Source organism: Homo sapiens, chromosome 20 (genome assembly GCF_000001405.40).
Source record: "Homo sapiens chromosome 20, GRCh38.p14 Primary Assembly".
NCBI lineage: Eukaryota > Metazoa > Chordata > Mammalia > Primates > Hominidae > Homo > Homo sapiens.
The window spans coordinates 53,964,051-53,981,446 of record NC_000020.11 but is presented as its reverse complement, the minus strand read 5'-3'; the positions used below and the strand labels follow the sequence as shown (position 1 = coordinate 53,981,446).

The 17,396-nt window shown below is 39.0% G+C and overlaps 1 protein-coding gene across 19 annotated transcripts in view; it reads left to right on the top strand.

Moving 5' to 3' along the window:
• Positions 1 to 17,396, top strand: part of BCAS1 (brain enriched myelin associated protein 1) — a 127,054-nt gene that overhangs the window by 89,148 nt on the left and 20,510 nt on the right. For 7 of the 19 annotated variants that reach the window (NM_001366296.2, NM_003657.4, XM_005260590.4 and 4 more), the window contains 2 exons: positions 6,017 to 6,058; positions 14,374 to 14,541. The exons of 3 other annotated variants lie outside the window; for them this stretch is intronic. In NM_001366296.2, coding sequence (NP_001353225.1) covers positions 6,017 to 6,058; positions 14,374 to 14,541 — 210 coding nt within the window. The remainder of the gene's footprint in view (positions 1 to 6,016; positions 6,059 to 14,373; positions 14,542 to 17,396) is intronic. 9 more of the 19 variants (NM_001316361.3, XM_047440568.1, XM_005260594.4 and 6 more) reach the window with 2 other exon arrangements.

Below are 17,396 nucleotides of genomic sequence, written 5' to 3'. Positions count from 1 at the left end.
AATGCTACGGTTGTTTAGAAAAGGGAGCAATCAGTGTACGTCAAAATAGACTTAAGAACTTAAAAAACGTATCTGAATCATTTGGGTGATTTGTTTCAAATACAGATTTTAACACCTTCCCATGGGGATTCTGGTTAAGAAAGTCTGGGCATATGTCTGGGCAATTATGGAAGCACTTGAAAGATGGGCTGACCAATCTGGGCTTAATAGAAAATGTCTTAGGGCTACTGTGAAGTTAATGGACTCAGAAGAGCTGTCACATGATCAAAATGATGCTTTTAGAAGACTCACTAGGAACAGGGCAAATGCTGGCTTAAGTGTTACCATATGAAAGTCTTTTAAAGAAACCTTAAGAATTGAATTTGCTCTTTAAAGGAGAGGAAACTCTGTTATTCTAGTTTCTATGGATAGGTTATCTGCTGTTTAGCTCCCCATTCTTAGCAATATAAATGTCCAAACAGGATCCCGTAGATTTTAAACTAGATTTTTTATTGTCACTGTTAATGAGGCTGGACCTCAACTGTGGATCATCCACCACAACATACTCATTGGCAGTAGAAAATAATGAATTGAAAAATGATATTCCTGGCTCCCTAGCTCCAGGCTTCCTGTTATATAGAGAACATACAGAAAGAAGGGAGAAGTTGCCTTCATTTGTCTTTATGTATGAGCATGGAAACCATGCCTAATACAAATACAAGTTAAATGTGAGATCCAGGCTTGGCTCAAAGATGCTCAAAGAGGACGCTATAATACATCAGTCAGCTTTCAAGGAGAGTAGAGACACACCTCAAGCCCCAAAGGCAGATGTGATGTTTGAGTAAAAGCAACAGTTTATTAGATGTTCCAATAGAGACCTAGAAATTAAAGAAGATTGGTTTCCATTTGAATACTAGCTTGGAATACAACATAAAGCACTTAACCCACTGCCTGACAATAATAGCCTAAGAGTGGCCCTATAATGTGGGTTGTCATCACTATTATCTCTATTAGCATTACTATTTTTTTCAGCTCTGTGCAATTGCATCTAATGCATGCTAAGAAGCTGGAGGAATGCAAGCCGACAAAGAATATTTATTAAGGAACAAAACATATTGCAAGGAGCTGTCTTCGGGAAGCCCTCTGGAATCTGGCCTCAGCCCTGTTTATTCAAAATTTTTATCAGTTAACTTGGACAACGACCAAGTTAAAAGAACATTTATCAAGTTTACAAGCTGGGTGGGTTCACTAGTGCAGTCCAAAATATAAACAATATGAATCTCAAAATAACGGCACAATGGGCTGAAGTTAGTATGACCTAGAATTTTTGGTTTTCAAAGGTCAACATAACACTATGTTATGGTACTTGGGTCATCAAGATTTTAACTGAGACCCACATTGTCCCCTACACCATTCCAACTTTGGAACCTAATATAACCTATTAGTTAGCAGTGTTAAAAATGTCTGTTTATAAGGGGTTCCGTAGCAAACATACATCTGGCCCAAGCAGACTTAAGAACATTTCAAAAGCAACATAGAATTACTCAAGAAAAATTCTAAATAGGTCTAGTAGATCTAGCCAGTGTCATTTCTTCCCAACATTTATAAAAATTGCTGTTGCTAATTGAAAATATACCATGTGCAGGTACTGTGCTAAGTGCTTTACATAAACAAAATAAATATCAGCAATTTTCATAGAATGCTGAACATACATGAATCCATGCCCACACAAATCCCATCCAGATAGTTCTAGGAATCCAAGATAGGTGATCATGAATCAGCCTGGGCTGCCATATGTCCCTACTGGGTGGTCACCCCCAAGCCACACCACTGCCACCACCACAGCCACCAAGGAGATGATCCGTGCCAATTTATCCCACTCATCACTGCTGTTGGGACTCCCAAGCCCACGAGAGTTCACCTGTCTCTTGCAAGGCAGCAGGCAGAAAACCTTTTCCTTCCATGTTGTGCTTAGCTCTGGAAGGAGAATCCCGCTGCAGCTGCTTGGACCCCAGAGTGGCCCCATTTGGCAAGACCCACTGTAGGCATCCATACAGCCCTTTTTCTCCCCAGTAGACAGCCAGTTCGAGAGTAGCTGAGCTGGAATGAGTTGTTCTACCAGCCACCAGCACCCTACCCAGAACCACTATTTCCCACAAGCCCTGGAGGTTGCTGATTCTGGAGTTCTTATTGCTCCTGGTAAATTCTCTTGCTAGGGTCCATTTCTTGAAACCTTTATTTTTGCTCTACTTCAATACATTCTGGCTTGTAGAAAAGCCTATAGACCACTGTACCCTAATTCCAGACATGGTTTGAGTTGTTCCTACCCCTCCCCCATAAACATACCTTCCAGGATCTCCAACTCCCATGTAAATGAGGGTCTTCATGTAAGTACCAAGAGGAACCATGTGGGTTTGACTCCAGCCACCAGGCTTCAGTGAGTCACAGCTGTGCTTCAGCCATGATTTTCCCTACACAGGCCTTATTTTATTTTTTCCTTAAAACAACGCTATGAGCAGTAGATAGTCTAACAGTCAGCCTTTGGGTAAGTGAACTGAGGTGCAGAGAAGTGTGATTAATTTGCTCAAGATTGCATAGCTGAAACACTGAATTTGTACCTGATTCCACAGTGTATGGTACTCTAGACTTGGGTTCTGAGCAGATTTTCTTTTACATGTGTCAAACACTAAAGGGGGATCAGAACCTGCCCTCTTATTATCCATTTTTGAATTCTTATTTTAACTGGATATTTCAACAACCACTAACAGAAGGCTACACTTGCAGGCCAGTGTGCAAATGTACAAGAATAGTTCAAAATTATTTAGAGTGACTCTTGGACACAATCTGAGAAGCATTTAATCCTTTACATAGTGCATTTATCTCCTGTTTTCATTCTATAAGAAGTCTCTTCTTGATATTCACAGGCATTTATTACTGTACAAACACCTGCTGATCTCTTTTTTAAAGAAAGACTTAAAAACAATTAGAACTTACTGCATGTTTTTTATCTATTGTACTTTTTAATACGTACTACTATTTACAGCAAAGATGTTGATATGACATTTGCTGTAATGATAAGGCATTTCTTTTAAAATATATTTAAGAAAAAAATATTAAGTAAAAATATATTTAAGTAAAAAGAGAGTCAGTTTAAAGAAAAACATCAACTGAATAGAGGTGGTACATGGACAGGTCAAGAATTAGAACATGGTTTTTTGTTCTTGCGATAGTTGACTGAGAATGATGATTTCCAATTTCATCCATGTCCCTATAAAGGATGTGAACTCATCATTTTTTATGGCTGCATAGTATTCCACAAAAAACCAAACACTGCATATTCTCACTCATAGGTGGGAATTGAACAATGAGAACACATGGACACAGGAAGGGGAACATCACACTCTGGGGACTGTTGTGGGGTGGGGGGAGGGGGGAGGGATATCATTGGGAGATATACCTAATGCTAGATGACGAGTTAGTGGGTGCAGCGCACCAGCATGGCACATGTATACATATGTAACTAACCTGCACATTGTGCACATGTACCCTAAAACTTAAAGTATAATAATAATAAATAAATAAATTAAAAAAAGAATTAGAACATGGTATGAAAATCATTGAAGTTTGAGAGATGCTCAACTGGATTATTTCCCAAAATGAGTGCTTTGCTAAGTAGTCTGACTTTAAAAATATAAAATAGCAATTCCTTTTGAAAAAGACAATATTTATAATGCCAGACTTAAAACATCAGAAAGATGTGGAGGTCTGAAACCATAATGAAGATTTAAAAAATCTGTTCAGAAGCAGCCCCTTCTATTCCTCACCATCATCTACATTGGTGATGGAATCTACTCCAAGTTCCCAGTTGCTTCTGAAATATAGTGAGCAATGAACAACCAGAAACTTTCTAGACACAGGCAATCAAAGATAAAAACTAGTCTTGTTGCAATAAACTGGGACAGGAAAAAGGGTATGTAAACCTAGAAGTGCTGTTCTTAAATAATGGAAGGGTTTTCTCAGTCTAATATAAACAGTATAATGATTCCTGAAACTTTTGTGGGCCGGCCTTGAGGAGGTCTGGCTTTAAAGATACCATTTGGTTCATTACGTGTTCATGGTATTAACCAGTGTCTGACTAATCTCAGAGAAAAAGGGGTGCAGTTTCAAGAAAGTATCTGATATGGTTTGGCTGTGTCCCCACCCAAATCTCATCTCAAATTGTAATCCCCATAATCCCCAGGTGTCAAAGGAGGGACCTGATAGGAGGTGATTGGATCATGGGGGAAGTTTCCCCCATGCTGTCCTCTTGATAGCAAGTGAGTTTTCACAAGATCTGATGGCTTTATAAGGGGCTCTTCTCCCTTCGCTCTCTCTTGCCTGCCACCATGTAAGATGTGCCTGTTTCCCCTTCCACCATGATTGTAAGTTTCCTGAGTCCTCCCCAGCCATGTGGAACTGTGAGTCCATTATGCCTCTTTCCTTTATAAATTACCCAGTCTCAGGTATATCTTTATAGCAGTGTAAAACGGATTAATACAGTAACACTACTGCTAATTTCTTCTGAACACATTACAATTTCCTGATAATCAGAAGCTTTCAGAAATTCAGCAATCTCTTTTAGGAACATTTTTGTGCCCAGAGAAACTTCACTGTGGGAAGAAGATAACTAGAAATAAATTATGCAATCTGAAGATCTCATCTAGAGAGAATAATTCTGTATGTGAAGAAAGGAATTCACACGATTGCCGAAAAAATGTGTTTCTGACCCTTGAAGTCATCATAGCAGGGGAAAATTTGGCTTTTAGATGTAAAATAAATGTATTAAAACCATTTCCACCACTTTCTAGCTGTTTAACTGGAACAAGTGGCTTCACCTCTCTGAACTTCTATTTCTTACTCTGTAAGTTAGGATCACAATACTTACCATTTTGGGGTGCTTTAAGTGAGATGATATATAACGCAAGATGCCTAGTGCAGAAGATACATTTGTAAATATCACTTCCTGTCTTCCCCTCCCCTGGATGCCTTAAAGGAAAAAAAAAAATAGGACTTAGTAACAAAATGGATATAGACAGAGTTCTTAACTTGTAATCCAAGAGGAGAGACATAGAAGGTCTATGAATCCTGAAATTATTTGCAAAGTATATTGTTTATGTGCATTTCTCTGGGAGGAGAGTCCAGATCTATCAAATGAGTCTCAAAGTGGTCTGTAACATCCACCACCATCCATCCAGAAGTTTAAGAACCACCAAAAGAAAGATGCAAAAATGAACTCCAAAGTTGGCTAACTGATAGAATGATTGTGGCTTTGACCTTTGACAGAATCGGGATAACTCCTATCCCACTTGGGGCAGGACTGTATATGCCAGAATTACTCCTGGGAGTAAAACGGTGTTTGAATGTGGATATGTAGGACTGCAGCTCTCTAGCCTTCCACAGACATGTTTTAGTCAAATTGAACTTTGACCTAATGAACTTGGCCTAGACTGAGGGCTGACGAAAGCAGCGGCCCCTGCTGCTGGCCCCTGTGCTATGGTCAGGGTAGGGCTTGGACCCTGCCTATTGTATTATAAAGCCTGCTTGCTCAAAAGGACAATTGAACGAGTTTCTCTGCACTTATTACCAGAATTTTCCTGAGTAGCTTCTTTGTTTTACCTAACAGTGACTCTGTATTGAATGATTAATTGCATTTCTCTCTTTTCATCAACTACTAAAAAATATAAAGGCAAGTACATTGCTTACCTACAGCAGTTAGCATTTTCTGTGACAACGCTTCTGCTTGCTCCATTTGTATCCTGGCTGCATCTGTGTTTTAATTTTCTCTTTGTTGCATTTTAAAATACATAACTATATATATATATATATACCGTTTTCATTTTTGTAAGTCTCCTTTCTTTTTAGAAGGAGGTGTACCTAGGCAATTCAGTGTCCCCGAACGCACCCCAAGACTGTGAGCCCAACTAACCCTTTGCTTTTATGTAACAATTTTGTTTTCTGTAACCTTTTAACTCTCACTTTTGTTTTTATCTTCCTTTAGTCAGTTAAAGAGGACTCAGTCCCCACAGGTGCGGAGGAGAATGTAAGTTACACACACCACGGCAGAATCATTCCATTCTCATCTTCCGCCATGTTGTACAATTGGGCATTTTCAGCTCTGGGGTCCTGTGTTCTTGCATGCTGCCAGTGTGATTCGTTTGTTGTAGACTCTCTTATCCCGTATGTGATTAGGGACGCATGGAGGATAACATTGGATGAATTTTTGTAACTCTCATTGAATCAGTGCAAAATAAATGCAAAATCAGGGCACAAATTTTTATAATTGTTATCAGTAGGGGCTGAAAGAGTCTACTACACGTAAGAACAGCTTTGCGCTTCCTTGAGGGATAATGATGCTCCGCCTTCTGCTTCATTCCACCTTGACTGCTCGTTCACTCTTATTTCCATGGTGATCCAGCTTCTTACTAACTTTGGGCGGTACCCAGGGCAGGGAGTTGCATCAGGCATGAGAACATCTTGCAGCAACAGACGCTGAGAATGTCGGTCTCAGGTTAGAGCGCTGACTTGACGGGTCTACCTCTGAGATAGAGACGTTGAGCCTCACAGTTTTCCTGGCTTTTAATCTTCTAGAGGAATTGTCAAAATTTTCAAGACAGTTCATTCATCCCCGAAAGGGATGGTGCTATATAAAACATCACAAAAACGTAGCTTCCAGGGAGATTAATAAATTGACCTCGTGAGTTTCAGACCCAAAACAACAGCTCTCTGCCTTGAAAGAAGTGCGCAGTCTTTGGGAAATTTTTATAAGTAGGGATAAGTGAATTCACAGCTCCTTGAGATAGAAACCGAACATTATCATGTTGCCAAAGCAAAACTTGTTCTGGGTGTCCCTTATTTACTTGCCATAAATAGGGCGTGTGTTTTTATTTTTATTTAGTTATGGGAACTGAACAGATGTTAAACATCCAAACACGTTTCTGAAATGTTGTCTGTGATGTGGAATAAAAATTAGAATGGCTGTGTTATGATTCTTATTGGAAGAAAAATCTTGAAATTGTGTCCGGAGTTGGTTCCTTCCGGTGGGTTCTTGGTCTCGCTGACTTCAAGAAAGAAGCCACAGACCTTCGCAGTGAGTGTTACAGCTCTTAAAGGTGGCACAGACCCAAAGAGTGAGCAGCAGCAAGATTTATTGTGAAGAGGGAAAGAACAAAGCTTCCACAGCGTGGAAGGGGACCCAAGCGGGTTGTGGCTGCTGGCTGGGGTGGCCAGCTTTTACTCCGTTATTTGACCCCGCCCACATCCTGCTAATTGGTCCATTTTACAGAGTGCTGATTGGTCCATTTTACAGAGTGCTGATTGGTGCATTTACAATCCTTTTGCTAGACACAGAGCACTGATTGGTGTGTTTTTACAGAGTGCTGATTGGTGCATTTACATCCTTAAGCTAGACACAAAGTGCTGACTGGTGCATTTACAATCCTTTAGCTAGACACAGAGCACTGATTGGTGCATTTTTACAGAGTGCTGATTGGTACATTTACAATTCTCTAGCTAGACAGAAAAGTTCTCCAAGTCTCCACTCGACCCAGGACATCCAGCTGGCTTCACCTCTCAAAATCTGTTTGTTGGTTTTACTGCCCTTCCTTCCTTCCTCCTTCCTTCCTTCCTTCTTTTCTTTCTTGAGCCAATCTTAGCCCAGCAAAGCTCAGGTCTCTCATCATTCCAGAAAGTTCTCATGAATTACTATTTTATAGAAAGTCAAAGTTTCTATTCCCGCAACCTACAAGGAGGACTCCACAAGACTTCTTTCTACGAACTTTAAGTTTAAAAGCTGCCCGTAAAATCTGTAGCATCTGTTAGCTTTGAGGTTCTGAGTTTTCTAAAGAAAAACTTTTTGGATGTTTGTGTGTAGTTGCTTGTTTAAGGAACCCTGTGTTTCCCGCAGCTCAGATGCTAAAATGCAGAGTTGATCTCTAACAGGCAAACAGGAGATATTCTATTTTCTACTGTGAAATTTTAAATAGAAATATAAACAGGAATTAAAAGTTAAATTATCGACACCAAACGATAACACAAAAACTGATGATAGGGACATAAAATAAGGTAAAATATTTGTTAAATAAAATAAAGAAGCATTATAAAAATTGCCTTAAATGACTTAACACTGCAAGCAACATTTTGATTTTTAAGGCTCAATATTTCATCTTCTTTTTTTCTGTTTGTGTGTTTGTTTGTTTTCTTGAGACAGAGTTTTGCTCTTTTCACCCAGGCTGGAGTGCAGTGGCGCAATCTCGGCTCACTGCAACCTCCACCCACCCAGGTTCAAGTGATTCTCCTGCCTCAGCCTCCCAAGTAGCTGGGATTACAGGCATGCGCCACCATGCCTGGCTAATTTTTGTATTTTTAGTAGACACAGGGTTTCACCATCTTGGCCAGGCTGGTCTCAAACTCCTGACCTCAAGTGATCCGCCCACCTTGGCCTCTCAAAGTGCTGGGATTACAGGCGTGAGCCACCACTCCCAGCATCAGTATTTCATCTTCTGACAGCCTATCACTTGGAGGGAATGAGACTGATGGTTGTGACGTTGATCCCATCATCTTCAGGCCACACCTCTTGAGCCTCAGTTTACTCATCTGTTAAATGGCGATAATAATATCACCTACACTTTCGGGTTCTTGTGAAAATTGGAGATCATGTCTATAACGTGCTTACTTCAGTGCCTGAAATGTAGGAGGAACTCAATAATTTTAGGGATCAGCAAACTGTAGCTCATGGGCCAAATACAGCCCACAAGCTAAAAATGATTTTTACATTCTTGAATGGTTGAAAAAAAATTTAAAAAGAATATTTTATGATGTGAATTCAAAATTCAAATTCAGTGTCCAGAAATAAAGTTTTATTAGAACACAGCCATGCTAATTCCTTTACATATCATCTATGGCTGCTTTGTTGCTAGGCAACAGAGTTGAGTAGTTTCAACAGAAACACTGATTGGCAGGGACTTTGCAGGAAAAGTTTGCCACCTTCTGCAGTAATTGTTAGCAAATTAGCAAATAAGAGACAACATAGTGAGTGAGCATGTCCCAGTAATCGGTGATTTTCTTTCCTAGTGAAATGATACAGCTCACAGCTGACTCAGTGTCCATGTGGATTGAAGGAATGTGTAAAACAGAGTTAGCTTTAATTTCCTCCTCTCTTAAATAAGAGAGAAGGCATTAGTCAAAACAATGTATAGTGCTCTACACCTTCACAACAGGACAATTAGATATGATTAACCATATTACAAGAGTGCTTTAAATAACGACTTCTGGCTAAAATGTGGTTGAGTTTATTCTTTAAAATTTCTCTACCTACAACTTTCCAGAACTAATCTATCAACGGATGCAAGGCCCACTTGTATTTAAAAAAAACTAAAAAACAGAGTGATGTCAACATTTCTCAAAGTTTCTCACAGAAAGAAAAATAAGGATTTTGAAGCCTGTGGAAGTTTAGTGCTTTTCCTAGAATGTGCTTCTGGTCCTATCAGAAATAAATCTTTTTTTAACTCTTGAAATGATAGAATCTTTCAGTTGTAATAAAAAAAATATTTTGCCCATTGGTTAATTGAGTTAATGTTCTAATGAAAAAAATTTCTTTCCTTCCAATAACCTGTAAGACCATGGAAACAGGTACTTCTGTTGTTTATCTCTCTTAATAAGTAATCTCTCAGTTGCAAGTGAAAGAAAACCCAATTCAACCTGGATTAGAAAGAAAGTGGCCTTTACTGGCTCTCATTACTAGAAAGTTAAATTGCTTTCAAATAAAATTTAATTCAGGGCTCTCCTTGGGTTCAGCCTTCTTGGCCTGGCTACATGCTCAGCTTTCCAACATCACATCACTCAGTCCAAAGTAAATGAGCTATTTGTCAAGTAGCAACCCTGCATGTCCTGGAGTTTGTTCTGTTTCACTGACTGAAATGCATTCACATGCTGTATTCGTCAGCTTTTGCCAGGTTGTGTTGCAGTGACAACCAGGTCCCAAATTACAGTGCTTCTCAATAGCAAAGAAGTTTGTTTTATTTTTTCTTTTCTCACTCATGCTACAAGCCAGCTATCAGTTGGCTTTGGCTAACCCATGTGGCCTCTTCCTGCTGAGGTCAGTAGAGAAGCAGCAGTCCCTTCAATAAGGACATGCAGTTCTTGTTGCAGAGAGAAAATAGTGGCATGGGTGAATCATGCAACGGATCCTAAAGCTTCTGCTCAGGCATGGTATATGTCATTTCTACCCATGTTCCATTACTAAAGCAAGTCACACATCAATGGGCACAGGTGTGTAATTCATTTACAGGAAGGTAGGGTAAATAATTGGAGAAATAATACAATTTGCCGCATGCTGTCATTTCTAAACCAACCACAGTCAAGGAGCTTGACCATGTTGATTGGTTTAGACCTTTTTAATTGGCTTAATCCAAATTACATAGTCTTGAAGATGGGAAAGATTGCTCTCCCAAAGCAAAATTAGAGTGTGTAAGCAGATGAGAGAGAATAGTTACTGAGTAGAAAAAAAAAAATCTGTGGGAGGTCTTTGTAATCAATCACATTAAAAGTCCTATCAAAATAATCTTTAAAATATTCTAAAATAAAAACCTTTAATGTTAATATGACGTTGTGCATGAAGTTTAAATGGACGAAATCTATTTGCCATAAATCAATTTCCAAAAGCCACAGCTCTAGTAAAAACTGTATAACCAAATTTCAAGAATAAGTGTGGTATAAAATTTGAGGCAAAAAGGGAAACTCTTCACTGAAATGTATATTGTCAATGTTAGATGTACCTGCCATCTTCATGCAATGTCTACCATATCCTCTACAGAAATCAAGCAGGGGGGATTTAATTCTAAAATGTAGCGCACATCTGACTTTAATTATGTCCATTCATGATATCCAAAATTAAAATGTGCAGATGCGGTCATATGTTCTAAATAGGAAACAACTTTTTCCAAAGCCCTGGCCTAGGAGAAATTTGGAAAATTATCCAAATAAAAATTGAATTCCTATGTCTGTATATGCAAATCAGATCCTTATTTAGCCAAGATTGTTCTGGATTTCCACACTGGATGTCAGTGGATTTTCCTTGGCTACTAAAAGCCAGCTTCTTGGCCTGACTTCAAAGGTAGTGGAAGTCTCCAGAAGTACTATATTTTTTTACCTACTGCAATAGTTGTGTTCTGGAGAATGGACTTGTGGCCTAGGATTTATGGGTTGATACCTCTCAACATTTGGAAAGGCTCAGCAAGGGAACCACTGGCATCCAAATAGAATTGATTTACAGAGTTATTGCCATACAATCTGATCATTTTATTTATGAGTAATTTTTCCTCCAGGTCTTTGCACACGAAGAAAGAACTCACTGCCTCAAAGACAGAATACTTCTGAACGCAAACTCTATTCCTTATCTACTTAAGAGCTATTTTCTATTTCTCCACTCTTCTACCCTTAGTTTTAGGCAAAGTTGCCAACTTTATACCCCCAAAGTATTTGATCATGATTAGTCTAAGTTAGTAATCTCATTTTCTTCACTAGTAAGTAGCCTGGGGGTAAGTGGCCTAGCTCTGACCCATGAAATTTAGGTACCCTGAGGTAGGGGATCAAAATACAGATGTTTATTTGGTGCAAGTCTTTGGCTGTGACCTTCCTTCTCAGAACATTGGATTGAGGATGTGATATCTGGAATTGTGGCAGCTATTTTTTAACCATGAGGTAACAAATAAAATGATGAAAATCTAGCATGCCAAGAATAGTGGAGCCAAGAACAAAGAGCCAAAGTTGTTAGAGATATTGTGGAGCCACTCAACCAACCCCAGAACTTCTTGTTCCATGTTTTCATTGGTTAAGCCACTATTAGATACATTGAGTTGCCGCAGAAAATGCCATCCTTATTGTAATGCCTATTTATCTGTGGTAAGACTCTGGCCAAATCATTCAATTGTTCACTCTTTATCTATAGAATAGGGATAATGTTATATTTCCTAAGCTGTCGAACTATCTTGATGCTATTTATAAAAAAATATTAAACACCCGGTACAATACCAGGCATAGCAAGAAGTAGCTATTAATATAATCATCTCTAAATATTGGATATGTGCATGGTGCCTAATCCAGATAATTCATGCTCATGGACTAAATAGCTCTAACATTAACACAAATAACAACCACTAGCATTAATTGAGTGCATGGTGCTAAGAACTTGACATGTATTGCCTGATTTAATATGCAGACAACTTTCTGATGTGTATGCAATTCCCACCGAGAACAGAGAACACGAAAAGCACAGAGATGTTGGGCACTGAGCTTAGATGAGGGATATAGATGTGATTTAGAGCCCAGCAAGTTGTTCTGGAGCTTGTCCTCTATGACCACGAGTTAGATTGCCTATATTTCAGCCTCACCTGAAGGGCTCTTGTGGCTCACACTTACTTTTCGGAAATGCGATTGAATTAAATCAGTTCAAAATGTGGAAATCCATGTCCATGCTCTATTGCCATTCTCAGTCTCTGATATGGCTCCAGTCTCCACCTCGTTTCCTAAAGATAGATTGGGGTCCAAAGCCAACAGCCCAGCAGCAGACCCTTCCTCACAAATAGGTTTTGTTTGGCCAATCCAGCATTTTTAATCATTTAACATCTTTAGATGGGACAGCTTGACTTTACTTTGTCATCATCCCTGTCACTACTTTTGGTCTTAGGTCTGGTCAATCCATGCTGATATTCTCTGCCTTGCCTCCTGAGGACTTTTGAGTTTGTAACCCCCCAACTTCCGTTTTTGTTTACAAAAAAGAAAATACTAGAAATTGTGTCAGTAGCTTAAGAAATTTAATTTAGCTTAAGAAATGTGATTTAGTTGCCAAATGTTGGGGTGTTCTGCATGCTGATTTACTGATGGGCAACTCCCTGAATCAAATGGCAATACAGAGACTAAGGGTTCTTCTCGATTTGGAAAATTCGGGTCATTTTGCAAACCAATGGTATGTTCTGTATGATGGGAAAGAAAATAGTTTCTCAGCAGACGATATTTTTGGAAATAACTAAGTCCCCTTCCCCTACCCCCTGACACCAAGAACAAGGCTCCAAGAAGCTAGGGGTCTGGCCCAGCAAAGACAAGTGGGAAGATGCCTTTGACTCTATGGTACTTTCCAGGGAGGCAGCAGATGAAAGCCATGTGGTTTAAAGGGCCAGATAGTAAATATTTCAGGCTTCATAGGCCATTTGTGGTCTCCATCCCATACATTTTATCTTTTAAAATATTTCTTCCAACGCTTTAAATGCGTAAAATCCATCAGGCGTGGTCGCGTGTGCTGATAGTCTCAGCTACGTGGCAGGCCAAGGTAGGAGGATCACTCGAGCCCAGGAGTTGAAAGCCAGCATGGGCAACGTAGCACGACCTCATTTCTTAAATAAATAAATAAAATTAAAAGGTAAAGACTATCCTTAGCCCAGGAGCCACACAGAAACAGTTACTGAGCTGGATTTGGTAGTATTTTGCCAGCCCCTGCCTGAGGAAACAAAGGAAATTAAAAAACCTCTCCTGGCCAATTCACTCTGTCCTGTGGCAGGGAACAACACAAATGCAGAAACTGTCCCAGATGTGACTGGGGCCCTGTACAAATGGAGTGAGGCACTGCAAAAGAACACAAGTTGAGAGCAGAGTGTGGTAGATGGGCCCTTCCATCCAAGCCGCCACAGACACTCAGAGGCAGAGGAAATCGAGCTCACTAGGTACAGTGGCCAGGGCCGCGAACAACTTAGCCATCAGTTTCTTGCCAAGTTCATTTTTCTTCTGAAAGCATAAACTTCAATTAAGTGAAATGGCAAATGACTGTTCTAGGGAAAAATTAGATATCGCTTAATGAGGAAGTCAATTAAATTCAGTGGTTTTTACACTCTCCTTTCTACAAAGAGGACAGTTTCTTTATAGTTGCAGGGGAACTGGAAAGAGAACTGGAAGCTGTCATGGTTACCGTCTCTAACGTTGGACTCTTAAGAAAATGATTATTCCTGGTTTCTAGACAGGCCAAATGTAATTCACCTACGTGGCAGATTAAAGAGGTGGGCTTACTAGATTTGATTGGGTATTGAGCATGCTCTGAATGACAGTCCCCAAAAAGGACCTCTTATCTGTTCTTCCCCTTGGGGAAGGGATTTTGCCACTTCCATGTCAATGTGGCAGTTGAGCTTGGAAATTGGTGCGTTGTACAACATAAGCATTACTTCTCCAAGATGTGCCTGTGTAGAAATGGTCATAGATTCAAAACTGTAGCTACTATGTGGACAGGGGGGCAACAAGGACCCCACTTTGTAAAACATGTTTTGGGGGAATGTTTTGTTTTTCATTTTCTTATTACCTGGCAAAATAATCCAGGTGGTGTGTGAGTCACCAGTAGAGATTATAAAGTCCAAGGAAGTAGAATCAGCCTTACAAACAGTGGACCTCAACGAAGGAGATGCTGCACCTGAACCCACAGAAGCGAAACTCAAAAGAGAAGAAAGCAAACCAAGAACCTCTCTGATGGCGTTTCTCAGACAAATGGTAAGCCCCTTACTTCCAGTATAGGAAACCTAAGATACCTAGAGCGGCTTCTGGGAACAATGGGCTCATGCCACAGGTAGTAGGAGACATAATTGTAGCTGGTGTGTATGGAATGTGAATGGAATATGGATTGCATAGTGAGAAAATTCCCTTTCTTCCTTCTGATTCAATCATACAGAAAGTCTCAGTTTATTGCTAATATTCTTTAACCCTTCTTTAATGCCTGCTAACACTTTTTAACAAAAAAAGAGGTGCCCTTGGGTTGGAATTTTTTTTATTTCAATAGTTGTGAGCATACAAGTGATTTGAGATTACATGGATTAGTTCTTTAGTGTGATTTCTGAGACTTTAGTGCACCTGTCACCCGAGCAGTGTGCACTACAGCCAGTATGCAGTCTTTTATCCCTCACCCTTCTCCCAACCTTCTCCCCTGAGTCCCCAAAGTCCATTATATCATTTTTTATGCTTTTGCATCCTCGTAGCTTAGCCCCCAATTATGAGTGAGAACATACAGTATTTGGTTTTCCATTCCTGAGTTACTTCACTTAGAATAATGGCCTCCAGCTCTATCCAAGTTGCTGCAAAAGACATTATTTCATTCCTTTTTCTGGCTGAGTAGTATTCCATGGTGTACATAAGCCACATTTTCTTTATCCACTCATTGGTTGATGGGCACTTAGGTTGGTTCCATATCTTTGCAATTGTGAATTGTGCTGCAATAAACCTGTGTGTGCAGGTGTCTTTTTCAGATAATGACTTATTTTCCTTTGGGTAGATACCCAGTAGTGGGATTGCTGGATCGAATAGTGGATCTACTTTTAGTTTTTTAAGGAATCTCCACACTGTTTTCTATAGTGGTTGTACTAGTTCACATTCCCACCTACAGTGTAAAAGTGTTCCGTTTTCACCACCTCCACGCCAACATCTATTTCTTTTTTTCGGCCTTTTAATTGTGGTTGCGTCCAAATTTTGGCATACAACAGCATCTAACTGGAAGTTACTATTATTGCTTACTATTATTTATTTTTAAAGTTTCCTTCTCTTGGTGGTCAATGATACTGCTTTTCTTATTATGGTAATGATATGAGGTTTTCTTTGAATTACATTTGTTTACATAAAGAATATCAGGCATTTTAAGGATTATGTATCAAATAGTCCAAGTTATATAAAGATATGGCAAAAATTCTGAAGGTGACGTGAGTGACACAAATTTGGACAAAACTAGCTTATAGATAAATTAAATAAGGAAATGACAACATAATATTCCAATAGTGAAATATATAACTTAGTTGATGAATTAGCCATGCTTTTAATTTGTGTAGAATAGAAAGAATGTGATAGATATATTTACTGTTTATAAAAAGCAATGCACATTAAATGACTAAACAGCCAGGAGCTTAAATAATATAATGCAACAAAACCTAAATCAGTTGGAGAACAAAAAACAAAAATGCATGTAAAAGGTCATTAGTTTAATTCTCTTTTAATGAAAAACAAGAATTTCATTATAGTGTGACTTTATTTTCAGGAGTATTTGGAGTTTAATCCTTTGAGAAAGCAACTCTCTAATTTCACAGGCTCAACCTGTTAAGGAATTCTATCTAGCCCACAAAACAAAACAAAACAAAACCCTTGCCAATGGGAACTGAGGCATATTAGAAATAATTATGTTAGAAATTGTTGACAGGAATCATTTTCTTTTCCTGTTATATTCTCATGGAGTAAAAAGTGTAGAATCAGTTGTGGGCGGCCCATATGGCCAAAACCCCATCTATCTCATTGGCCATTTGATCTGCAATTTGGCAGTGAAAATGGAGATTAAGACTTGAGATTTTTTTTAAAACCAATTTTTACATGATGCCAGGAAAGAAAAGAACATTTGGCCTGTTTCCGGCAACTCATCTAACTTACAAATGGGATCCCCAAATATCTCATCATAATATTGAGAGTGATCAGCTTTTCCATTTCTGGATGGAATTGAGAGGTACAGAAAAAAAAAACAGTAAATAGAATGATGGTCTCTTCCAAATAACCAACATGAAGCTCCTTCATTTAAAACAGGGAAAAGTACAAGAAACTCCAAAGAAAGCATGAAAAAAAAAAAAACCTCTAAACCACTCACAGCATCCATCTAAAACAAATTCTTAAATTCTAATGAGGTCTCATATTACTTAAATTTATCCCCCAGAGCTATCTGTTAGATGCTGTTTGGGAAAAGTTTTTGGCAGTAGAAAATGGGTAAGTCTAAATTCTGAGGGAAACAAATTGAAAAGAAAAGCGTCCTTTGGAATCAATTCGCTATAGGATAGGGATGAAGGTAGGTGAGGACACACTTTTCCCCAGCAATCCCCAATGGATTCTTAGAATTGGATTCCATGCTGTCCATTGTTCTTATTACCAGTTGCCCACGAAAAGGCCTGGGAACACGAACATTATCTTTGCAAAATTTAAATCCTGATTGTTGGAATTTACTTTAAAATTCCAGGTATTCTAATTATCGTCTTTTTTTCTGTTTTGCCTTCATTACAACACTATATTTATACTGTGATTAATTCAAATAAACAAATGAAGAGTTTTCCAGCTTACTAAAGTCCCTACCACTCCCTATTGCCACACCCAGTCTAGCTCACTCATTTATGTTACCGGCCCTTTCCCTGTGGGTATTTGAGTTTGCAATCCCTGATAGAGAACCGCCTGATTCTTTAGAACAACTTATTTGAATCATATTGTCTGGATTTATCATACTCAGGTTAACCATTGCTCAATGGATGGACATGTGGTATGTTTTCAACTTTTTGCATTTCATGCATTCACTTTTTCAACAAATAATTATTGAGTGTCCACTATGTTCCAGG